General features: G+C 35.9%; 1 protein-coding gene across 9 annotated transcripts in view, besides 1 other annotated feature; it reads right to left on the bottom strand.

Moving 5' to 3' along the window:
* The window catches only part of SLC39A10 (solute carrier family 39 member 10), a 124,672-nt gene that overhangs the window by 8,226 nt on the left and 90,552 nt on the right, over positions 1-25,894 (bottom strand). For 8 of the 9 annotated variants that reach the window (XM_011511504.3, NM_001127257.2, XM_005246689.5 and 5 more), the window contains 6 exons: positions 22,690-22,859; positions 20,631-20,819; positions 15,922-16,042; positions 12,470-12,838; positions 11,143-11,223; positions 1,126-1,316 (listed from right to left, as the gene is read on the bottom strand). In XM_011511504.3, coding sequence (XP_011509806.1) covers positions 1,126-1,316; positions 11,143-11,223; positions 12,470-12,838; positions 15,922-16,042; positions 20,631-20,819; positions 22,690-22,859 — 1,121 coding nt within the window. Of the gene's footprint in view, positions 1-1,125; positions 1,317-1,343; positions 5,094-11,142; positions 11,224-12,469; positions 12,839-15,921; positions 16,043-20,630; positions 20,820-22,689; positions 22,860-25,894 lie in introns of those variants that run through there. The other variant, XM_011511507.3, reaches the window with a different exon arrangement.
* Positions 24,505-25,005: an enhancer, noted in NCBI's record as "H3K27ac hESC enhancer chr2:196569194-196569694 (GRCh37/hg19 assembly coordinates)". NCBI's record gives its function as "activates a minimal SCP1, AML or CMV promoter by ChIP-STARR-seq in primed H9 embryonic stem cells {active_cell/tissue: H9 hESC(primed)}" and the evidence as "EXISTENCE:reporter gene assay evidence [ECO:0000049][PMID:30033119]".

Below are 25,894 nucleotides of genomic sequence, written 5' to 3'. Positions count from 1 at the left end.
AGCTTCGGTGTTCCCCATGAAATCAGAAGCAAGGTTATCAGCTGAGGGTGAGAATAGGAAATGAGATATTAAAAGTCAGCAGGGAAGATGACTACTCCTAGGTAACTTTGTAAACAAAAAGAAACAATTGTTTACATTTTCAAAACCTTCTATGATAAATAGGCATTAATTCTGTGATTAAAAATTTAGGCTGGGCCGGGTGTGGTAGCTCACACTTGTAATCCCAGCACTTTGAGAGGCTGAGGCAGGAAGACTGCTTGGGCCCAGGAGTTTGAGACCAGCCTGGGCAACATAGAAAGACCCTATCTCTATAAAAAAAAGTTTAAAAAAAATATTTTTGCTGGCTGTGGTGGCAGGTATGTGTAGTCCTAGCTACTCAGGGGCTGAGGCAGGAGGATTGCTTGAGCCCAGGAGGTCAAGGCTGCAGTGAGCCATATTCATGCCACTGTACTCCAGCCTAGGCAACAGAGCAAGACCCTATCTCATAAAAAAAAAAAAAAGGCTGCATAATTTTGAAATAAGACTGTGATCTTACCAGAAAAAAAAAAGTAAATGTCCTATCTAGTCAAACAAACAAACATAAAAACCTAATTGCTAGTTCTGTAAATACACTGTCTAACATATTTGGGGTATTAAAGTAAAATCAAAATAAAACAAATTGTTAGCATTTACATTTAACTTTAAGCTAAATTTAGAAATAAGAGAAATTACATAAATCCTATGGAATATATACCACTTCCTTCCAGAAGACTGGCTTACCTAACAGGAATAGTATTTCTCTCCTGTTTGCCATAAAACAAACTCAAAAAATTAATTTTGCTAACAAAAATAAAACACTTCTACACCAATATTACAAAGTCTTTAAAGTAGTATAATAATTCTGTAATTATAACTCTACTACTAATGATTATTTAAATAGTAACATGATGGACAGACATTTTCAGCAACTCAACTGGTTTCCATAAAAGGAAACCTCCTACTTAAATGTCCTTCCTTAAGAGATTATTTAGGATATTATGTCTTTAAAATGAGTTATATTTTCAAAAATAGTTTGGCTTCAAACCACTTCCAAGGATTTCTTTCATTTGCAGGTTTAGTACCACAAAAAAATATAAAATATCTTACCATATCCACCAAGGCTACATAGAGGAACATGCCTGCAGTGACTGCAAAGATCCAAAGTGTGATGTTATTGGCATACTGACCAACAGCTGTGCCTATGAGCATGCCTATGTAAGCCATCATGGCAGAGAGGAGGTTGTATACAATTGCTTGCTTTACAGTCATGCCTGCTTTAAGAAGAACTGCAAAATCTCCTGCAATTAAGAAACAATGGGAATGTTTTAAAACCACAGGATTTAAAACACAAATCTGAAAGGAGAAAACAAATAAAATCAGCATTAAAAAGATACACACTTTTAATAACAGTATTTTATGTGATATATAAAATATTTTACTTATTAAACCATAATGCATGCAAAAACTTGGATGAATCTCAAAGGCATGATACTGAAAGATGTCCATCTGAAAGGTTATATATCTATTCTGAAACAGACAAAACTATAATAATGAAGAACAGTTAGTGGTTGCCAGGGGACAGAGATGGTGGAGAGCTGCGACTCTAAAGGAAGAGCACGGGGCAAGGGTTGTTGGGGGTGACAAAGCTACTCTGATCCTGATGGTGGCAGTGATTACAGAAATCTATATATATGTTAAAATTCAAAGAACTGTACTCACAAAAAAAGTCAATTCTACTGTACAACTTAAATGTCAAATTTTTACAAAAGAAAAAAACATGGTCACCGCTCTTCTTGTAACCAACAATCAAGACCTCCCTGCTCGAACTTCTACCCTTTCTTCAAAGGGAAATGGCCTAAGGAAGAACAGAGGTAACAGGTGCTTTAAGTATATTTTATGCTATGGTTACAGTTATTTTTTTTTCCCAGAAAGAAAAACTTTAATCCTGAAAATTCTAAAAATGTAGTAAGAATGAAGAGCTCTTCCTACCACTTTTCCGTGCTTCTACAATGATGCACATAAATATCTGGCTGAGGCTCCGAAGAGCATCGACAATGCTGAAAATAGAGCAAATGCCAGGTTCTTATTAAGCCATACTCCAAAGTCTGTTTCTAACTGTGCTGATGAAGAATGGTGACACTGGTGACTGTGAAATCATCCATGACCACAGAGCTGATGTAAGACAAAAACTCACAGGAGGGAAAATACTGAAATGCTTTTTCTAAGGATCCTCAATGGACTCTCCTCCCGCCACCCCCTCCCTCCAAATAAGAAGAAAGGCACTTTTCTTATTCATCTGTCTAAAGTTGGAACATTATCTGCAAGCTTGACTAGTGCCTATGAAAAATAATGAAGTTGGAACATTAGGGGGAAAAAAATATTGCTCAGAGAAGTGTCAGTGGAAGGACAAAATGATGCTAGAGATAATAATAGTATTGAAGCTAATGGGTCGAAAGCAATAGCTTGTTCCACCTTGAAGAGGTATGAAAGAAAAAAACCCATTAGCTTTACATACTATAATAATTTTGTTTCAGTTACTACATGAACAAACATCTAATCAATTATTGAACACTCAGCATATGCAAGGTGCGATACAGAATACTAACTGGGCTTGTTTCTTTCCCTTAAGGATCTTAACAGCTACGTATCTAAAAATACATGATCTATTATTCTTCTATACCTCTCATGGTTACAAGGTTCATAGTCTATAACAAGGAGAAGTTAACAATAAAGAAATTACTGCAAGGTTTATTTCTACCTTCCAACAAATTGCTACAAACTAAACACTGCAGCATTGTTTTGGAAAGTTAAGATAATGTACCTAAGGAGATTATCTACCAATGGTTTCTAAGTTGTAATTGTCCAGTTTTCACCTAATGCTATTCTCCTTACATCTTTTCTCCTCTGATCCTAAATACCTTAATTCTCCTGCTGAGACCCGGATTTAATATCAGCTTTTATCTCTTCTCTCTCCTGGAGTTTCGTTAATTTTCTCCAGTCTTTCTCAGCTTTTTCTCTGTGGAAAGAGCTCCCTAACTTCCCTAACAAATTTCCTCTCCTTGTTTTCAATAAATCACACACCAACTGTGCTAAAGAGGCAATTTCATTTAGCAGGTTATGTAAAACAAACTGAGACTACAGAAGTGTCTTTTAGATTACAAAATGCATTGCTTCCTTTTATAATTTAATAATGCGTTTAAAAATGAGCATTATTTAATACTCAATGAACAACGGTGTCATGGGTACAAAATACACCAACTTTGTTGCCATAGCAAGATGGTTTAAGTTCCTTCCTAAGTAACAACCAAACAGCATGAATTAACAAATCAAGATTCAAGGCGAACTATTTTCATTTAATACTTTTAAAAACTGTGGTATAATTACACAACTATTTCATTTTTTAAAAATGTAGACTTCTATGAATTTGGACAAACACATACACCCTATAACCATAAACACCATTAAACTCTAGAACTTTTTCATTACCCTTCCAAAATTTTTTTAGGCCACTTGCCCTTAGGCAACCAACAATCTGCTTTCTGTTCCTGTAATTTTGCCTTTACCAGAACATCATCTAAATGGAAGCACACAGTATGTAGTCTTTCAAGTTTAGATTTTGTTCACTTAGAATAATGCATGTAAGACTCATTCGTGTTACTGTGTATATCAGAAAATTATTTTATTGCTCAGTAATATTCCATAGATGAACCATAGTTTATTTATCTATATTCACCAGCAAAGAACATTTAAGTTGTTCACTGTTTTTGGCAATTATGAAGAAAGCCACTGCACACATTCATAAACAGGCTTTTATGTCAACATAAGTTTTCATTTCTCTTGGGCAGACACCTATTAAGTGGGGTCACTGGGCCACACAGTTAAGCATATTTCTAATTTTATAAGAAATTGCATCCCCACCAGCAATGTATAGGAGCTCTAGCTGTTCCACATCCTTGACAGCCCACAATTTGAAATCCAGCATCTGAAATCTCATCTGTATACTTTCTTCAGTGAAACATTTGTTCAAGTCTTTTTGTCTATTTTATTTTGTTGGGCTGTTTGTTTTACTATGATTGAAGTCTTTTGTCAGATATGTATTGTCCAAATATTTTGTCCCAGTTTGTGGCTTCCCTTTTTGTTAACTGTCTTTTGTGAAGAGTTTTTAATTTGTAAGAAGTGTATTTTATGACTGTTTTCCTTAATGGAGTATGCTTAGTGCTGTATCTAAGAATACTTTGCCTAACCCAAAGACACAGAGATATTCTATATTTTCTTCTATTTTTAAGAATCTCCATTTAGATTACCTACTTTGAGTTCATTGTTTTTTCTATAGTGAGATATGGGTCAAAGGTATTTTTCTTTCTTCCTTTTTTTTTAATTGCATGTAGATGTCCAATTGTTACAGCGCCATTTGTTGAAAATACTATCCCATCCTTTCAACATGGAATTTTCTTTGTACTTTTGTTGAAGATTAATTGCCATATATGTGAGGACTCTTTGCTTTGTTCCACTGCTTTATGTGTCTACTCTTTCACCAATTCCAACTGTTTTGATTACGGTGGCTTTATAGTAAATCTTAAATCAACTTTGCTGCCCTTTTGCAAAATTCTACTGGCTATTCAAGTTCCTTCCCCTTTCCATATAAAATTTTTAAAAAAGCTGTTCATCTCTGCAAAAAAGCCTGCTGGATTTTTTACTGAGAATGCACTGTGTCTATAGGAAAAAATTAACATCTTAACAATAGTCTTCTGGTCCCTGAACCTGGTATAGCTCTTCATTTAAGTCTCCTTTGGTTTCTTTTACTGATGATTTGTAGGTCTATGCATATTGTTAGATTTAAGCTAAATATTACATATTTTTGATGCTATTATAAGTAGATCCTTTTAAAAATTTTATTTTCAACTGTTGATTACTAGTATATAGCAATACAAATGATTTTTGTATACTTATCTTTGTATCAAGTGAATTATTTCATTTTAAAATCTATCTTGGTTGTAGTCTTATCTCAGGTTATAAATTCTCAAAGGTATCTGCATATTTTTCTCTTTTTCCTCATTTCCCTTCTCAGTGAGAACCTGTATAAACATTTTAAAACTAAGTCAAAGGAATCCTCACAGCAGGGATTTATAGTAAACATGCAAATCTATTCATCTTTTGATAAATCAATATTCTTTCCTTCCTGCTGACAAGGGATATCATTAGCACAATGAATGAGGTGTGCCTGCCAAAGCTGTTAAACTAATGAGATCCAATGCTACAGATGTTAACATCTGTTAACATCCACTACTGAGATTTTTTAAAACATGTATATATTTTAAGGTTCTTTATTCTTGTCTTAAATAATGGTTGTATACATGTTAAAATTCTACATAAATGTATACAATGAATGTTCAATTTCCTGTGGACAATTTAACACATTATGAAAATCTTATTTTAAATTTCTATGTAATCCTTAATTTGACAGAAAGGAAAAATGTACAACACTATAACCTCTCTTAATTGAGTCTTAATAATATGGCTACATATTTTTTTCTTTTTCAACTTTTATTTTAGAAGCATGGGGTACATGTGCAGGATTGTTACAGAGGTATATTATGTGATGCTGAGGTGTGGGGGTATGACTGGTCACCCTGGTATACTACACAATAGTACCCAGTACCCAATAGGTAAGTTTTCTAACCCTTGCCCCATGGCTGTATTTTTTTTTTTTAATCAAAATGTTATTTCCTTGAAGTTGAAACACATTACTCAACATCAAGAAGAATGTTTGGGAAATTGTGATAGACCAAGATGTCAAAATGGAAGGTGACCCACTCATATCCCAACATCCACAAGAATAATTCTGCATCCATCCACAGTCAAAAGCCTCTCTGTGGGAGTCTCAGAATTCCGGCAGGAGTTTGTGAAACCCTGGTGGAGTCCAAGACTCTGGGGCTGTTCTGAGAGTGCAGACGACACTCAGGTGGTTGATCTGTCCTGAGTTCAAACCTGGAAGCGGCTGTCTTCCTCCTGCCCTCTGGATGGTCCCCAACATTACATTACCTATAGATGGCCTCCTCCTACTACAGGCTTTTCTGTAAATTATTCTTCAAATGCTTATACAGTTCCTTATTGAAGGAAGGTGGAAAACAGTGAAGAGATAAGACAAAGTAGTATTGTAACTTAAATTCAGCTACATAAGTTCGGCAAACACAGAAAAGAGAGTAGTGACTTAGTAATTCAGGCAATTTAACCCATTACCACACCAGAGAGCAAACACAAAATGAGATGTGAGTTTGCTATTTCCTCAAATGCTTTCAATTTCTTCATGTCTCTTACAGTCAAATTCCCTGAACTATATGTTATTCTATGGTTCTAAGGATATGTCTTTACGTATCACATTCCTAAACACAACTACAAAAAACACCTGCAGAAACTGCAGAGAGAAAAAGGGGTAAGTGCTAAGAAGGTAACCATCATTAATCTCTAAAACAACTTGTTTTCAATTCTGTGTCTCAGTGAATATACCACGGGAAAAACAGCAATCTGTTCAGAAAGGGAACACTAGAACTTGGAATTACCAACTGAGGGTCAGTCTCCATGTATTGCAATGTAATTGGAAAACATGTTTTTCCTCCAAGGGTCTGAGGTCAGTATGGAAATCTCAGAATTGTTTTAAGAATTCATAATGAAAAATGTAACAGGGCAAAATAGGTTTTAGATCAAATAAATTATCCTGAAATGTGACATACTATACTACTTTGTCAACATCTTAACCTAGAAAGTGGGAAGTGGACTTCTCCCTGGCTCTATCTGCCCATGCTTCTAACTCAACCTATAGAGGAATGATTTTCCCTGTGCTTGGGAGTTCTGAGGAAGAAGCTTGTATGCCTTTCTCCACATCCTGTTCCTCTCCGAGTAAGAATAGATGATCTGATCAGAGTAGGGACACTGACCTGGTCCTATTGTACAAAAAGTGCCCTTTGCTGTGCCTTAAGGCAAAAACTAGGCTCCACAATCATATTTTTACTTCCTTTATTTATGGTCCCTAGACCACTTCCTAACTTGTTGATAGATACAAGGACCAGAGCCCTTTCTGTCACCTCCAGAAGAGGAAGCTGGGTCATTTCTTTACACTGTTTCTTCCCTAGTAGCCTATCCAGCTACAGTATGGTATAGTTTACATCAATTTAACATTAGGAAAAATGCACATTTTCTAAAAGCCCACTCCTTTCCCTCTAGCAAAATTCAGTATACTCTGGCTTGACATATCTTCTCATAGCAGTAGCAACATCTCAGCCTCTGATTTGTGGGATAAAACAGGTAGACATCTGAGGTCTGAATGTCTCACTAGGGGTTCCTGGTCCAAGCAGAGTTCTCCGCTCCAGTTTTTTACCAGAGCTCTGCATTGGGTATCAAGGGCTTCCCTAGCTATTAATGTATGTAATGCATTTGTTCTACATGTGGTTATCAGCCCTTGTGTGTCACTCCTTCAATGAGAAATTGCAGACAGAAAAAGGGTGGTAAGAAGGTAACCATCCTTAATCTCCAACTTGTTTTCAATTCTGTGTCTGAGTGAATCCTTCAAGGTTATGGCAATTCAGTAAAACCACACTTAAACTTGAAGTAGCCTGACACTCCATTTACCAGGTAGTGGGTAGATGAACAGGAAGGAAAGTTGGAGGTTTTTCTAGTATATTATGGAGGTGTATGCGTGATTATCCAAGTCTATTACTAAAAATAGTTTTTAAGTGAAAGATTAAATATGAGGCAACATGTTAACTCATATATAAAAACTGATAGCCTTGATTTGTGGAGTTAGGCTAACAGCAGTATGTGATAGACCAACAGCAGTATGTGATAGTTAGAGAAGAGCATAAGACGTCGTATCTGTGCATTAAAAAACTACAGTTTAAGAAATACGGCATCTAACAAGAAAATGGGTGAAGGACCCCGAGAAAGCAAACAATAAAACTAAGAGGAAACAGTAATCCAAGGCATGAGGTAAAAGACAGTAATAAAGTTGAAGATTCTTAACATGATAAACTAGGAATAGAAGTATTTGGGCCAGCCATGTAGGAGAATGGTATAAACAAGGAAACAGATTCAGGCACCCACACTACACATTTGGTGAATTGCATTTAGTTGAAATGAAAAACATGTAACAGGATGTACTGCAGGTAACACTAAAAAGCTAGGTAGAGAGAAGAAGTGAAGGTCATTGAAAGTGTGACTCATAGCTGGGCGTGGTGGCTCACACCTGTAATCCCAGCACTTTAGGAGGTTGAGGGAGGTGGATCACTTGAGCCCAGGAGTTCAAGACCAGCTTGGGCAACATGACAACACCCTATCTATCAAAAATACAAAAATTAGCTGGGCATGGTGGTGCACGCCTGTAGTCCCAGCTACTCAGGAGGCTGAGGTAGAAGGATCATTTGAACCCAGGAGGTCAAGGCTGCACTAAGCCGTGATCAAGCCACTGCACTCCAGCCTGGGCAACAGAGGGAGACCCTGTTACAGGGGGAAAAAAATATATAAAATCCAGCTCTATTTTATATGTCAGGAAAGCTACTGGAAGACTTTAATTACATAAGAACATCACATTTAAGCAGATATATCTGGCAATGATATACTACAACAGAATAAAACCAGAGATATAAAGACTATGAAAACTGTCTAAGCAAAAACACCACAAAGGCGGTGATGACTTGGTCTGGATAAAGGATAATGGGCATGAACAAGAGATAAGATTATGTGTCTGAAGTTGGCAAGGTAAATGAAACCATACAGAATCAAGCCCCAAGGAATTAGCACCAAGTATGCACTAATATATTTTTACTGCTTTATGTAAGAAGTTATTGATTTTTCAAGAAATTTATATGATAAGTTCTATTCAAAATGAGCAAATACTACAAATCAAGACAATTACGCACAGTCAAATGACAGACATTTCATAGCCAGGTGAGTTTTCAGAAAAATTAAATTAGAAAACACATGAAGAAATCCCTTGCATATTCGAAAGGTGGCATTAGCATTTTTTCTTTCAAATTAATGCCATCTCCATTTCCCTCAGATATTTTCCATGTGAATGAGTATTTACATCTTAAGCTACTGTTTTTTAATTTATAAAAGAAGAAAACCAAAGTAGTATTGCATGTGGAGAGAAACTAAATTGGTAAACCAATAAATACCAACTAAAATAAAAAAGAAATGGTTTACATCCATTACCTTGGTAAAAAAGAAAAAGTTAAGGCCAGGTGCAGTGGCTCACACCTGTAATCTCGGCACTTTGGGAGGCCGAGGCAGGCAGATCACTTGAGGTCAGGAGTTCAAAACCAGCCTGGCCAACATGGTGAAACCCTGTCTCTACTAAAAATACAAAAATTATGGCCGGGCGCAGTGGCTCATGCCTGTAATCCCAGGACTTTGGGAGGCCGAGGCAGGCAGATCACCTGAGGTCAGGAGTTCGAGACCAGCCTGACCAACATGGAGAAACCCCGTCTCTACTAAAACTACAAAATTAGCCAGGCGTGGTGGCACAAGCCTGTAATCGCAGCTACTCAGGAGGCTGAGGCAGGAGAATTACTTGAACCCGGGAGGCGGAGGTTGAGGTGAGCCGAGATCACACCATTGTACTCCATCCTGGGCAACAAGAGCAAAACTCTGTCTCGAAAAAAAAAAAAAAACAAAAATTAGCCAGGCGTAGTGGCCCATGCCTGTAGTCCCAGCTACTTGGGAGGCTTGAGGCATGAGAATCGCTTGAACCCAGGGGACAGAGGCTGAAGTGAGTCAAGATCATGCCACTGCACTCCAGCCTGGGCAGCAGAGGAAGACTCTGTCTCAAAGAAAAAAAAAAAAAAAGAAAGTTAATGCCAAGTGCTGGGAGGGTTGTGGCAACAAGAACTTTCAGATATTGCTGTTTGGAAATCATACTGCTTTAGCATGCATACCCTAGACCTGTCAATTCTGTTTCTGAGTGTATATCTCAGAGAAGTCGACAGGTATCAAGTCTAGAAATGTTCAATGCACTATCTCTGATGGGAAGAAATTAAAGGCCACGTGCTGTGTCCAATAACAGGTGCTACATATGTAAAATGTGGCGAAAGCACATTTCTGAGTACTGGGCAGAAACAACAGATTAAATTAACTCATCGTAATCGGGATGGAGAGTTTTAAAACACAGTAATAAGTAACATAAGGTAAGAAACACAAGGGTTGTATCAGGAAAGCGAATCAAAGCGAGGAGGAAGTAACCCATTTCCCTTTTAGAAAAAAAAAGTGCAGCTCATTTCTAGCGCTCATTTCTAAGGGCAAATGGGAAATGCATTCGAAAAAAAAAAAGAATGAAGTCCAACATAATATATATGATTACTATAGTTGAAAGTGTATCAATAAACAAGAAAACATTTTTTTAAATGAAAAAAGAAAAATATAGGTTTTTAAAGATTATTTTTTGAGTATTCAGTTCCATTCGACCAAAATCACATAAGAAACACATACTAGATTTTTGGGTATTAAGATTATAATATTAAAATATATAAAATGAAAACAGAAATCATCCAACCTTCTTACTTCATAAAATAAGAGCTTTGGAAATAAATGATTACTCTAAAACCTCAGTGCTGGTTAGTAACCGAGTTAAGAACCTATCTATCTTTAATAACCATCCAGGTAACATTTTTGAACATCAATATTAACTTTCTATTATTTATGAAGAAAGACTGCCTTAGGTACATCTAGGACAACTTTCAATTATGTAATTACAAACTTTACCCTGATTCTTTTAAAAATATAGTCTACATGGTATATGAAATAAAAGTAGATTAACAGCAAAATGTGGCATTTAAGAAATATTTCTTTTTAAAAGTTATACTTAGTGAACCAGTCATAATCTATAATCTTCATTATAACAGCATAACTATGTTATTGAATGCAAAGGAAACCACACAGAAATGAACATTTCATCAATCTTAAGGAGCATTTTTTTTTTCATATTTTAACATCATGAAGTATCTTACAATTAGTGACACTATAGTTGCCATCAGCCATTTTTTATGCTTGAACATCTCTGAAATTTGAATGCAATTACAATTAAGGAAGTCTTAGATTTGATGAAATCTGGTAAAATTTTTAAGGTTATATTACCTAATTCATGTGGCAGTTCATGACAGAAGACGGCTATAGAAGTACTGATTCCTCCTGTCAATCCAGCACTGAAAGCTGCACCTGAGGAAGATAAGAAAAAAAACAAGTGAGGTTTGCTGATCTTAACTCTTCACATTTTCATTAATGACAGATGCAGTTTCTTTTGCCTATCTAAATTAATTTCTTAACATATGAGTGACTCACTTATCTTACACACTATAGTTTTTGAACATATAGTGGAGTATAATAAGTATGTAACAACTAGAGAAATAGCTATTCAATAAAAGCAATATTCCATATTCAATTTAATTCTCTATTTTTGTAGCCTTCCAACTCACTAATATCTCGGGAATAGTAACAATTTTCAGAACTTCAAAGTAGTGGTTTGATGGTCAACTTTAAGTCTTATAAGTCTAAGATTGTACTTGCTCTCTCACATTGATCTTTATAGGGATTTAAATGGCTAACATCCTTATCAAAACTTTCCTAGACCTGGAAAATAAATGGCACAAAGTATTACTTGTCTGGTAGTATTGAGGACTGAGGTCAGATTTATAAATGCATCTAGGTCTACTAGCAGAATTATTTATTCTTTAGTATTAACAGCTACTATAGGCTGAGCAGGTGGCTCATGCCTGTAATCCTAGCACTTTGGGAGGCTGAGGCAGAAGGGTTGCTTGAGGCCTGGAGTTCAAGACCAGCCTGGGAAGCATATCTAGACTGTCTCTATTTAAAAAAAAAAACAAAAACAGCTACTGTAAATTCAAAAACATGGTCTCCGCTTTCTGAAAGAAACCAAAGCCTACTTCTGGGTGCTAAAAGAGTCTGGATCTCAAAGAAAATTATGTATTGATCACATTTAATGTTCCTTTTAACTGGTAATATCCGTTTACTCTAGCAAGATACTAATATATTTGAATTTAGTACAATGGATTTTCAATGTTGTAAATTTTTTTTTTTGCTTTTTCAAAGATATGGCAAATTTATTAAACCTAGGATTGAAATTAAACTGTTCTCTTTTAGGGATATGTAAATACATTTGAAAATATAATGTTAAGCAGTTTTTTCAATATGGTAACTCTACTTTGAGAAATCAAGTTATTAAAGAAATATACTACAGACATTTGTTTACGTGTTCTAAAAAACCCCACTAAATTATACCCTTACACCTCCAAATGTAACAACTGAACACAAAACTGTAGCCTTTGGGAAAAATCAACTGACCAGAGTGATACATAACCATATATTTGTTAAGCTCCAGCCAAATTTAATCATACATATTATAGTCCATAAGATTAGCATAGACAGTGGTTTCCAGTCCACTTACCAATTGCGAGCCCATCACTGAAGTTGTGGATGCCATCCCCCATGATCACCATCCAGGCTATATTAGCTATTCCTGTTTCTTTCAGATCGGATCCAGAATGACAGGGGCCATGGGAATGATGAGAATGCTTGTGGTGCCACTGGTGATTATGCTTCCTCAGCACAGTTTTGTTCTCGCCGTGGTGGTTATGTGCAGCAGCATGGAGATCATGCTCATGAATGGTATGTAATCCATCACTGTGAGAATGGTCTATGATTTTCTCCTCTTCTATACAAAGGTAATTTTTAGGAGGGGATTCTTGTTGGCCTTCTAAATCTGTCAGTTCAGTTTCATTAAGTCGATCTTCAGAAACAACCGAGTCATCAGTTCCTGTATTTATAGCAAAGGATATGCTTTATCAATAATTAAATGCATGGATATTTGCTAATTTAAACAGAATAGCAGTGCAATGAACATTTCTTAAGTGAATGTCTTTTAGAATTCTTAAATAATTTCCTAAAATTATTTAGAAGCCATTCTAATAGAAAAATGATTTCTGGAGTTAAATTAAAAAATAAGCAAAACAAAACAAAACAAACATACACACACAAAGAAGAAATTGGGTTTGGGGGGAGATTTAAAAGATGCTCCGGATGAGGTCAACGGGAGGGAACTGAAATCAAAAGCAGGCAAAGTGAGGAGAAAAACTGGAAAGCATGAAGATAAAAGTTCGGAAAGAGTTCATCTTTGGATAGAAAGCCTTTTTTAAAAAAAATTACTCCCTCTAGACCCCCTCCTCCCTTATTGCAGCAGCCTACTGAGAACTTTATTAACTGTAGCTGGCAAATTAGAAGCTACAATAATGATAAAGAGCAGAATTGTACTTAAAGTGCAGATCCTCGTTCTCTGACAATTTGTGATGTCTGAAAAGCCAGAACCCAAAAAGCTATGCTGAAATGTACAGGCATTATTTCAGACAGTAAATGGCTTGTGATACTCTGACACTTGTTTTCAAATGTATTTACTAACTGTAGTGTTGACTGCCTGACCAAATTCCAGTGAAACTTAATACACCAAAATATTCCTTCTCAGTCCTATTTACTAGTAACATGCACGCTGTGACTGGCTGGTATAACCACCCCAGTTAAACTGTTTTCATAATTAGTACTGCCAGCAATAGTGGCAAACACTGCAACTTTTCTGCATAAAAAGCATTTATTGCATGCCTACCAGCCACACAAATAGATAAGTTTTTCTGACTTCACGTTTATTAAGTGAAATTTATTTCCCTTGCTGTGGAAAGTTTATTGAGAACTTCTATTTCATAAATGGATATCCCTACTATGACTATGAAAACATGTCAAGTGTCACATTAGTGTCACAGAAAGCATACACCTATGCTGTATTGCTTCTTTATATTTATTTGTAAAAATTCAAGCCTAGTTTAAAAGATGTCAGTATTACTAGTCTTGAATTTCTTTTTTTTTTTTTTTTTTTTTTTGAGACAGAGTCTCACTCTGTCACCCAGGCTGGAGCGCAATGGCGCGATCTTGGCTCACTGCAACCCCCACCTCCCAAGTTCAAGCGATTCTCTTGCCTCAGCCATCTGAGTAACTGGGACTACAGGTGTGTGCCACCACACCCGGCTAATTTTTGTATTCTTAGTAGAGACGGGGTTTCACCATATTGGTCAGGCTGGTCTTGAACTCCTGACCTCTTGATCTGCCCACCTTGGCCTCCCAAAGTGCCGGGATGACAGGCGTGAGCCACCGCACCCAGCCACTAGTCTTGAGTTTCTAAGAGAGTTCTTTATGATTATACCAGGTAAGTATATAAAAGAGATTATGTGCTTTTTTCATCACTTATTTTCTTTAAAATCAGCTATTATAGGAAATATTTTTATTTTATACATGCTGTTTTTTAATTAAAATATAATCACTTAAGCTTACTAATTTGATTATAAGGTTTGTAGCATTGCCAGGCGCAGTGGCTCACGCCTGTAACCCCAGCACTTTGGGAGGCTGAGGCAGGCGAATCACGAGGTCAGGAGATTGAGACCATCCTGGCTAACATGGTGAAACCCCATCTCTACTAAAAACACAAAAAATTAGACGGGCGTGATGGCGGGCGCCTGTAGTCCCAGCTACTCGGGAGGCTGAGGCAGGAGAATGGCATGAACCCAGGAGGTAGAGCTTACAGTGAGCCAAGATCACGCCACTGCACTCCAGCCTGGGTGACAAAGTGAAACTCCGTCTCAAAAAAAAGGTTTGTAGCATTACAGAATAACTAAATTTGGATTTATAAACCAGCAGTGATTAATAATGTAAAGTATTAAATATTGAACTTGAACCAGATTTTTAGGAAAATTATGTTGTTTTTTCCCCTTTTATGGTTTTAACTAATTTGAATCCTTCAAGAGGGATTTTTCCACACTATTTTTTGAGACAGAAGATAATCTGAGGGGGAGGGGTGGAGAATGCATCTGTGATACTCTATAAATTCAACATTCTTTACCACAGGTAATAAATGATTATAAACAAGATGCATCTTATATAGTATTAATATTCTGAGCCTTGGATCATATATTTAATATAGGACCTATTTTGAATATTTAATCATATGGCTCCTAGCTTACAAGGGCTAGATCTAAGATTATTCCCATGAGAAATGCTGAATTTATGAAGAATAGATTTTGAAAATGGTTAATTTCTCAAAAACATCAATGTCCAAACATCTACCTTTTTTCATAGGAGGAGACACTAGCAAGCTAGACAAACTATCATAAAAGTATTTGTCGGCCGGGCGCGGTGGCTCACTCCTGTAATCCCAGCACTTTGGGAGGCCGAGGTGGGCAGATCACGAGGTCAGGAGATGGAGACCATCCTGGCTGACACGGTGAAACCCCGTCCCTACTAAAAATACAAAGAAAAAAATTAGCCAGGCGTGGTGGTGGGCGCCTGTAGTCCCATCTACTGGGGAGGCTGAGGCAGGAGAATGGCATGAACCCGGGAGGCGGAGCTTGCAGTAAGCCGAGATGGCGCTACTGCACTCCAGCCTGGGCGACAGAGTGAGACTCTGTCTCAAAAAAAAAAAAAGTCTTTGTCATGCATAACCTGTGGTCTGTTGCTGATTAATACAGTACTTTTTCTTGTGTAATTCTTATCTTTATAGCACAAGTATTATCTCAGTGGATCATCTAGAGTAACATCTGAAAGATAGGTTCATCTATGTGTTTGCTCTTTAAACTGTTGTTTCTCCTATCCCAAGTTGGCTTTGCATCTATCAGTAAATAAATTATTCAGCTGCCTTATTAAGAGTGCTATGAGGGTAACACCTTTTCTGCTTTTCATCTTGTATTTAGTTTACTGTATTATTTAATTTCAGATTGAATGAATGTAAATAGAAATTAAATGTAAATTTGAATGAAAAAAAAAAAAGAAAAAAGTTTGTCTTGAGTCAGAATTGCTGTCTACCGGCAAGAGGCTTGAGTTGAAGCCAGTCAGAATCTGGTGTATTGTTTAACTTGTGATCTGAAAGCTTTCTTCCAATAGTTGATTCTTCTGTGTTCTGTTTCATAAACCATTTCTGTTTTCCCTAAAAAAAGAAAAAAAATAGTATCTGATATTAGTATAAAATGTGAGGACACAATTAGCAACAATATTGACTCATTAACACCTACAGGTAAAAATGGTGTTAACTTTATATATAAATTATTTTAAAGGGGCGTGAAAAAAAATTCTTGGGAGTAAAGCAATCCAGAGATGAAAAATCCAACTAAATTTGTATTTTTTTAAATATTCAACTAAGAGGTTCCATTCATCTACTTTGAAGTTAAGAACAGAGCACACAGTACTGAATTATTAGATGCAACAAATGAAACGTGTATAACATGTGTAAAATCTCTTATCCAATAGTGTAAGGTAACAGAAAGTTCCAAAAAACTAAAGCTTGTTTGAATTTCATTCACATTTAATGCAATCTATATTTCCCTGAATGTGACGTAAAGAAGAGTCAAATTTGAGTGAGAATCTTAAGTTTGTAGTTTCCATCTGACACTTAGGCAAGTTTGTTAAATTTATTGAATATAAGAATACTCATCTGTAAAAATAAAAATAACATTTTTATGAGGATTAAATGAGGTGATGTATGAAAGGACCTATCACAGTAAGTGACTCTTAGTAGTCTTATAGTAAAGACAAGCATCCTTTCTTATCACCTTGGACTTAGATGGAGAACATAATTTAATCTGTCCTTAATTAGTTACAAATACTAATTATTGTACTTCATTGTTTAGGTTTAAATTTTTCTTACTGTATGTCTTCACAGTCTGGCTTTTACTGCTTTCTTCTTTTATCAATGTAACTACCACTAACAACTCTTCCAACTTAAATTTCTGCTTCTAATGTATGCTAATTTAAGAAAGCAAATAATTATTCTAGAACACTGTTGAAAAAAAAGTTTTCTCTGGGAGACGCTTACTGACTGGCATGGCATTTTTTTGTTGCTGGTTTTGTTTATAGGCTGTTAACTATGTTTCAGATGTTTAAGTCGTCTAACTGCTGCATAAGTAAGCTTGCATGGCTAGTAGAGCATAAGGTAATCTCAAAGATGGCCACTATCAATTTCCTTCCTCCCTGTATGAGCATTCTGCTCCACCCATGAGGACATGGAATCTACCCCCCTGCCCTGGAATTCTGGCTAGCCTTTTGACTTGTTTTGATCAATAGAATGCAGGAGAAGTGATGCTGTGCCACTTCCAAAACTAGCTTTATAGAGATCTGGAAGCTTTTGCTTTTGCTCAGGAAAGCCAGCCACTATCCTATGAAGAAGATTGGTCTCTCCTAGAAAGAGAAGCCATGTGGAGAAGCATTAAGATGCAGACAGGGAGTGAAGTATTCTTGGACTTTCCAGCCCTATACATCCTAATCCAGTGGCCTGCTGAATTTTAATGTAATAGTGTTAAAGACTCTAGCAAATGGCAAGTAGAGAGGAACTCCCCATTTGAATCCTGGCACAGAGAATAAGAGAAGTAATGGTTAATGTAAGCCACTAAGCCGATAGAAACTGGGAAGAGTTAAGACATTCACAGGAAAATAATGATACGGACAAGTCCTAAAGAGAAGAAAAAAAACGGCAACCATGAGTTAAGGGGAAAAAGGGGAAGGAGGAGCCAACAATAGTACAAAAGTCAATGAGAAGGATATAGAAATTAAAGAAAATGAAAACACCAGCTGAGATTTTGTTTAATTGCTTTGGTTCTGATAGTCCACTTTCTTAGAAGCTTGCAAATCATTACCCTCAAGGTCCCCAACTTGCTGAAACAAGTCAACATCTAGTGTATTATTTAACTTGTGGTTTGAAAGCTGAAACAGTTGATTATTCTGTGCAGACTGTCAAATGTCTATTCTACTCAAGTATCACTAATTCCCTTTCTTCAAAAGAATGCCATAACCTTTTCATCTTAGGTTACTTATTGTCCTATTTACCATAAAGCAGATGCCCTGACTTATCTGGCCAGATTCCCTTCTCTGATATAGTTGAGAATTCCTTACTATTTAATATTTAGAGAACACTCCCTGCATCCAAGGTGTTCTTCCAGTGTTTTACTTCCCACAATTTCAAATTTACAAAAAAGCTGTCATGGTTTGGTGACTCCATTCTTGTATCAGTTTTCTTTGCAAAAATAAATGTATAAGCACCAGTAAGCTTAGGTTCAAAATGAGATTAAAAAGATCAAATTATAAAAAACAAAAAACTTGTTTATCTGAAATCTGAAATGTTCCAAAATCTGAAACTTGAGTACTGACGTGATGGTTAAAGGGAAAGCTCACTGGAGCATTTCAGATCTTAGATTGTCACATTAGAGATGCTCAATTGGCAATTCTAAAACTTCTTTACAAACTTTGCAATATCTAATTTATTGTAGTGATGAACTTTTAAATACTTATATGTCTTACATCTAATCAACTAAGAAGTCTTCTTGATTCTCCCATCTAAATAATTCCCTTAATCATCTTTTCCTCTCCTATTTCTTCTGCCATGACCCTCACTCAAGCCCCACCACCTCTTTTGAATTATTCTGCAGTCATCTACTTAGCCAACTCTTGTTTCCCTGCAGCCCCTTCTGTGTTGGCATCCCTCCCACCATATTTTATTCTCTACTCGTCCATCAGAATTAATTACTTCACCTTCCACAAGCCCCTTCAAAATCTAAATACTGTTAGCTCTCTTTTACTTTTCTCTAAGTTGAACTTTCCCAGTTCCTTTTATCATTCTTCTTTTCTAGGCTATCTTAATCACCTCTCCTTTGGAGGCAAACAAATGTGATGATGTCCTGACTAAATATAACTAAAATATACAATTTGAAATAAGATACGAAAATACAGATGAGAAGTAAGATTTCTTTCTCATGATTTAGATAACTACTGGAAATCATGAGGAGTGAGTCATAGTCACACAAATAAGTTTTATGTAAACCAGAATCACTCCCATGAATCCCAGTTCAGAGATCTGTTCCAAATCATGAAAGGAATATATACAAAACACACACATATGCAAACAAAACAGAAACAAAAATAGTATAAAATTGTATCTTAAAAGTAGACTGCACATCTTTAAGATCTTGACCATCCCAAAAAAGGTATCTGGAATTAACTAACAAAATGAATTTTCCAACTCTTTTTTTTGTGGAAAGCTTTACTTAAACAGAATATACTGAAGATAATCACTGTTAGTATCACAAACATGTTAGTGAGATGTATTCAGGATAGAGCTTTAAAAGGCAGATGTGAACTGAAGTGAATAGGGAGGAGTATAAATCATAGTGAATGGCAGCAGCCCTGAATTTACTTTCTTGGAGGATAATTCTTCTTAGATATTTTTTGTATTCTCATAAATGTGAGGTGAAACAGACAGCTGCATCACCATCAGAGTATTTAAGCAACAGTTCAACCAAGCGTCAAGCATCATCTCCAAAGTGGTGCATCATTCTTGAAAAGAGTCACCATTTCCATCATTTCATTTTATTTTCTTCCTACAAAGCCCCCTTAATCTGACTTCTTACCTCCAGTAAGAAGTGTGAAAACACTTTTTGTGTGAAAACATTTTCATTAAAAAATACTACAATAAAAGTCACATGATTAAAAATATTACCTAAGAAGACGGATGAAACTTGCTTCTCTTTACATACTTTCACATTTTTATAATAAACTTAATTAGAAAATATCTTTTGCCATCCTATTTAAGTCAATTAGGTATGATGTAACACAAAATAACTGAAACTGAGACTGCTGTATCTTGATTATAAATGCCAAAATAAATGTAGTAACAAAAATGGCAAAGATCAAAGTCATGTAGGGTGTGGTGCCTCATGCCTGTAATCCCAAGTCTTTGAGAGACTAAGGTGAGAGGATCACTTGAACCCAGGAGTTCAAGACCAGCCTGGGCAACATACTGAGAACTCTGTCTCTACAAATAATTTTTAATAGTTAGAGGGCACCAGGCATGGTGGCTCATGTCTGTAATCCCAGCACTTTGGGAGGCTAAGGCAGGTGGATCACTTGAAGCCAGGAGTTCAAGACCACCCTGGCCAACATGGCAAAACCCTGTCTCTACTAAAAATACAAAAACTAGCCAGGCATGGTGGTGCGCAGCTATGGTCCTACCCACTTAGGAGGCCGAGGCACAAGAATTGCTTGAACCTAAGAGGTGGAGGTTGCTGTGAGTGGAGATCATGTCACTGCATTCTAGCCTGGGCCACATAGCGAGAATCTGTCTCAAAATACATACATACATACATACATACATACATACATACATACATACATACATACAAGTTAGCTGGGCATGGTGGCATGTGCCTATGGTCCCAGCTACTCGGGAGGCTGGGGCAAAAGGATCACCTGAGCCCAGGAGGTCAAGGTTGCAGTGAGCCATGATCACAACACTGCATTGCAGCCTAGGTGACAGAGGGAGACCCTGTCTCAAAAAAACCAAACAACAACAACAACCACATATTTAATTTTAAAAAACCAAAGTCAGCTTTTTACTCTAAAGATTAGCTGTTACAAAACTGAGACTTAATACACACCAACATCATAATTAAGGAAAGCATATACCCAGAAAAGGATAATTTTTGTTTTGAGTTTTATGGTATAAAATTAAATAAATAAAAAATACTTACTCTTTGTTGTTTGTAGTGCTTAAACATTCTAATGCAGTGTTCAATGATAAATAGCAAGTAAATGCCTCCTAGAGCAACAAGTCCTTTCAATACAGCATCATATTCTTCCAAAAACTTGTTAGATTCATGTCCATGAGAATGTCCATGCCCATGTGCATGTTGGTGACTGTGATCATGTCCACCCTGAGACTATTAATAAGAACAAATAAAACTTCTAAACAAATAATTGAAATGCTATTTAAAATTTTGAAATTATAATAATTATAATCTCCTAAATGACACAGAAAAAATACCTTTCAAGTTTTAAAGTGCTCCCCTAGATATTATCTCACTTAGTCTTCCATTTAATTTGCTTTACTCAGTTGTCCAAAATACTACTACATTTTACAGTAACTCAAAGACACCAAGTCAAATGCTATAAGAATAAGATACATACTACAGTGAGAGAATCAAGCCAGAAGTAACAATAGGGAGTGATGGGTTCTTTGTAAATTGAAGTGAACATGATCTACTTACATGCCAAATATTTAGTAAAAATGAAACAAAACACACAAACTAATTCACCAGCAGTCACTTGTGATTCCCTGTAATCTAATTCTTTCTTAAACTGATTATCATATATTTTTTCTTTTAACTTTTATTTTAAGTTCAGGGGTACAAGTGCAGGTTTGTTACACAGGTCAACTTATGTCAGGGGGAGTTGTTGTACAGATTATTTCATCAGTTTCTTCTCTTATAAAATTATTTCAGAGGTAATAAGGTCGCTATCTCTGCATATACTGTGGAAAGTTAGCAAGAGGGTATCCTTAAATATGTAATTTTCTATATTTTAAAGCTTTAGCAATCATAAATGTATGTATAGAAAAGGTTATGTTTCAACATTATGAAATGTACAAGTATCACAACAGTAATCTTATAGAACATAAGTTAGATAACTGCACTTAGGTATCTTTCTTCGTTCTAAAATTTATTTGTATTCTTTTCCTGTTAACTAGTGGTCAACCAAAGAGATATCTAAACCTCTCAGAGGATATCAGACCACTCAAAAAGGTAACAGCTAGGTTTAGTTAACCCTTCTTAATACAAAAACAAGTTGAACAGCACTTAAATACTGTTCTCACTTCAATAACTCTTACTAGGCCCAGTTCTAAAGGAAACTGTTGCTATTCTTGATGGCTAGTAGAAATGGTGAAACAAAAACTTCATATTCACAGCCTTAAGATTCATTAACCTGTTTATTAAAAAAAAAAAAAGCAATGCCATATATTGCTGTAGATACTAAATCTGGAATTCTCAACCAAGAGTGCAGAAGAGAGGAGATATACACAACACACAAATATAATCCTGTCTCCCAAATTCTCTAGAAGGGAAATACTCAATACTTCAATTTTATATTTGGAAAAGAAAAATCCCCATTGTTTTCATAATTTGAAGTAAAAATAGTAAGAGTGAATTAAATACTCTTAGCTGGTGATAGACAGCTATCTACCTAACTAACTATTGATAGGTTATAGAGAGCAACTTTTAAAAAGGTTGGTAAGCATGGTACTAGGAATATGGGCTTGTGATCATATAATTAGAAGTGTCCCCAAAGAGAAGAAAAGGACTGGCATGACAGGTGAAAAGATAAATGCCCCCATGTATAAAGAGCTAAGTGTAAAACAGCGCACTGAGTGTATCTGCCTACTCCCGCTCAAAGATGCTGATGGCATACCACCTACAGGCATAATCATTACAACATATCTTATGCATTTCTCCTAAAGGCTAACCTGATATGCTACACAGATAAAAAAGACCACTCACTGCTACTGATATTGCAAATTTTAATCCAATGAGTTTTTTTTAAAGACTATTGAAAGCAAAGTTGACCTAATGATTCAATTTATTTAAAAAAATATTGCTATTAAAACTCTGAAAATGGAGAAAAAAATACTTCATCCTATAAGCAAATAAAACAATACAAATACTAGATTACTGTGCTATAGCTTGCTAATGAAGGACCCTTTCAGCTTAAATATTTTTATTTTAAATTTTTAAAAACATTAAAAACATTTCTTACATGGGGCAGTAGATGAAGAAGGGCGTCTCCACTCATTGTTCCTACAGCTAATGCAACAAGGAATGTAAGAAGGAATTTGAAGCATCCTTGGTTAATGATAGGAACCAAGATCACGCCTAGCAAGGAAAGCAGGCTAATGACAGTGATAGAAATGATACCACAAATCCAGGCTGTAGAAAAGAAATTAAGAGTCAACATTAGTATAACAATTTAAACCAACAGACTACCAAAAAGAATAAAAATATAAGATAAATGAATCGTAGAAGGTAGACTATTTTACCCAGATTATGAAAGCTTTAAGGCATTGTTTAAAAACAAAACAAAAATATGACATATAACTAACTTAAACATTTTTAAAAAGAATTAAGACACTCAGATCAAGTTATAAATAGTACCTTCAATGGCCCACGAGATAAGAACCAGTGACTTAAAATGACTGAAGGCTGTGATTCACTTAATAGCTAAACTATAAATAAAAATTTCCCAAGTCTAAAGGCAGAGCCACAACAATAAAGCTGTTTATTTAAAGAATATAATTATAAAACTCACCTGAGAACATTAAAAAAGCCAAGTATCTATTTAACGTGTTACAATCTTTGTAAATCTTTCTAATACAGAGTTTAAGAAATGTAACATAGCCCCAAATGGAAATATATTCATATGATGAGATAACAAAAAAGTCTTATTACTGGTAGCTTTATTGTTACAAAGGTTAGTTCAGTCCTATTTTTCTTGATTTTTTTTCTCCACACCTGGTTCCAAACTCCCATTCCTCCAATTTGGGTTTCTGTAACAATTTACCACTTAAAAAAAAGTCACTATATAATTTTAACTGGCTCAGAACACAAGAGAAATGTTTTCACAATATGACTTAAAGAAAAATAGGTATGGTGGGGAAGGGGAATTCTGTATACATGTCTTTATCTAGGTCATTCACAAACAGGTAAGACATCAGAAATATATGCCAGTGGTTTGGGGGCTGGACATTTTCATTACAATTTCTATTATTGGCCTAAAATGAAATAGAAATGTTATTAGTTTTTAAAATTCTGCTTATTTTAAGATCTATCTACAGAAAATCTCACTGAAGAGCAATAATTTTATAAAGATTTTAATCTAAAATACTATTTTTCAAATCAAATCTAAGAGGACTATAAATCTGCTGAAAGACTTTATATTAAGTCTGTGATATAATATTGAAAAAATACATCTCTTCATCAAAATAACTCAAAATTTTCAACAACAAGGAAAAGTAAAGATAGGGAGATGATACTAACTGTCCCACTAAAGGCTGAACTTTATCAATAAAACTGTTTTATCCAATGGGCGTTGTATTCACAATATCCAGTAATGTTAACACTATAGCCAATACTCATTAGCTCAATTATCTCACCGAATTAAAACAATAGATAATCTATCACTAATAGAAGCTCTGTGGCTTCCCCTGTATCTTAAAAGAGAATTCCTATCACATAAATATAGGTAACCTAAGAGGCAAAATAAGATTCAAACACAACCAGTATTAGAGGGCTGAGGATCTACCCACTAGATTTGGATTCAATGGCTTCAATCCTTGCAAGGATTTTGGATTAAGGAAGGAGCAGGAACTCAATTCTTGAGGAACCAGGATCATATTTATTACAAAAATAATATATCCTGGTTAGTGGAAAGAAAGGATGAGGAGGATTGCGGCCTGGCGTGGTGGCTCACGCTTGTAAACAGCACTTTGGGAGGCTGAGGCAGGCGGATAGCTTGAGTCCAGGAGTTTGAGACCAGTCTGGGCAACACGGTGAAACTCCATATGGAATAAAAATACAAAAATTAGCCAAGCGCGGTGGTACATGCCTGTAGCCCCAGCTACTTGGGAAGCTGAGGTGGAACGATCGCTTGAGCTTGGGCAGCGGAGGTTCCAGTGAGCTAAGATTGTGCCACTGCACTCCAGCCTGGGTGACAAAGTAAGACCCTATCTCAAAACAAACAAACAAACAACAACAACAAAAAAACACAGGGGCAGGGGTGGGGCAGTGATTGCTCTAACTAACTATTGTTGGGATGACAAACCGCGGGGAGCTGATGTCAAAAACCTTATTCTAGAAAGAAAAAATATATGCTCAAATAAGGTTTATAGGCTAACTTAATGATGATCACCAGGCTAGTTTGTTTGTCCCGTTTATAGACAGGAAAAATAAAATCAGTGGAAGAACTTAATGAAATAAGTCAGAAGTAGTCATAGGTATAAATTTTAGACACGAGGTCTTAGAGCCAATAAAGTTATTGGCCAGCTAAATCAAAAATGGTTTGTCAAAACTACTGCAGCTCTCTAGATCCAATCATATTGAAGAAAAAAATAGAGATAAAAAGGACAGGGAACTTACAATAACTACATGGGACAAAGTGAGTTGGTAACAAAAGCATTAACCTGAAGATAAACTGTATCTTACACAGTAATATATAACTTTCCCTTTACAAATATATTTCTCCTTATTATTTTGGCAAAAATCTAATATAGAAGCAACTTTTCTAAAAGCAACAGCCTAAAAGCAACTTCAATTAAGAACTTGAAAATGTGCACTCTAAACTACTTGGAAAAGCCAGTAATTCATACTCTAAGATACTCTAGGAGAAAAAAATAAAATGTATTTACTTACTAATGTAAATATAGGTGAATGGGGACTGCCAGAACTACAGACAAGACCCCAAATACACAAGATATACAAAGTAAACACCTGATAACCCTTCATAGTTATTAGAAATTTTTATTAATCAGAATTATTTTAGCCAAGAATGCACTAGAATTAGTCACCAAAATTACCCAGTAAAAATATTTTAATGGCTCAGGGTCCTTTGCTTATGCCTGTAATCCAAGCATTTTGGGAGGTCGAGGCAGACAGGCTGATTAAGGTCAGGAGTTTGAGACCAGCCTGGGCAACAAGGCAAAACCCCATCTCTGCAAAAAATATAAAAATTAGCCGGGCGTGGTGGCATGTGCCTGTAGTCCAAGCTCCTTGGGAGGCTGAGGTGAGAGGATGGCTGGAGCCTGGGAGGCTGAGATTGCAGTAAGCCAAGATCATGCCACTGCACTCCAGCCTGGGTGACAGAGTCAGACCCTGTCTCACAAAAAGAGTTCTTTTGTGGAATAGTGTTTTGATGAAAAGAAAACTTAAATCAATAAATAGTCTCTGTATTACTTTGAACATTTTAACTC

Source organism: Homo sapiens, chromosome 2, assembly GCF_000001405.40.
Source record: "Homo sapiens chromosome 2, GRCh38.p14 Primary Assembly".
NCBI classification, from domain to species: domain Eukaryota; kingdom Metazoa; phylum Chordata; class Mammalia; order Primates; family Hominidae; genus Homo; species Homo sapiens.
The sequence above is the reverse complement of the archived record's forward strand: the minus strand, read 5'-3'. Positions and strand labels throughout refer to the sequence as shown.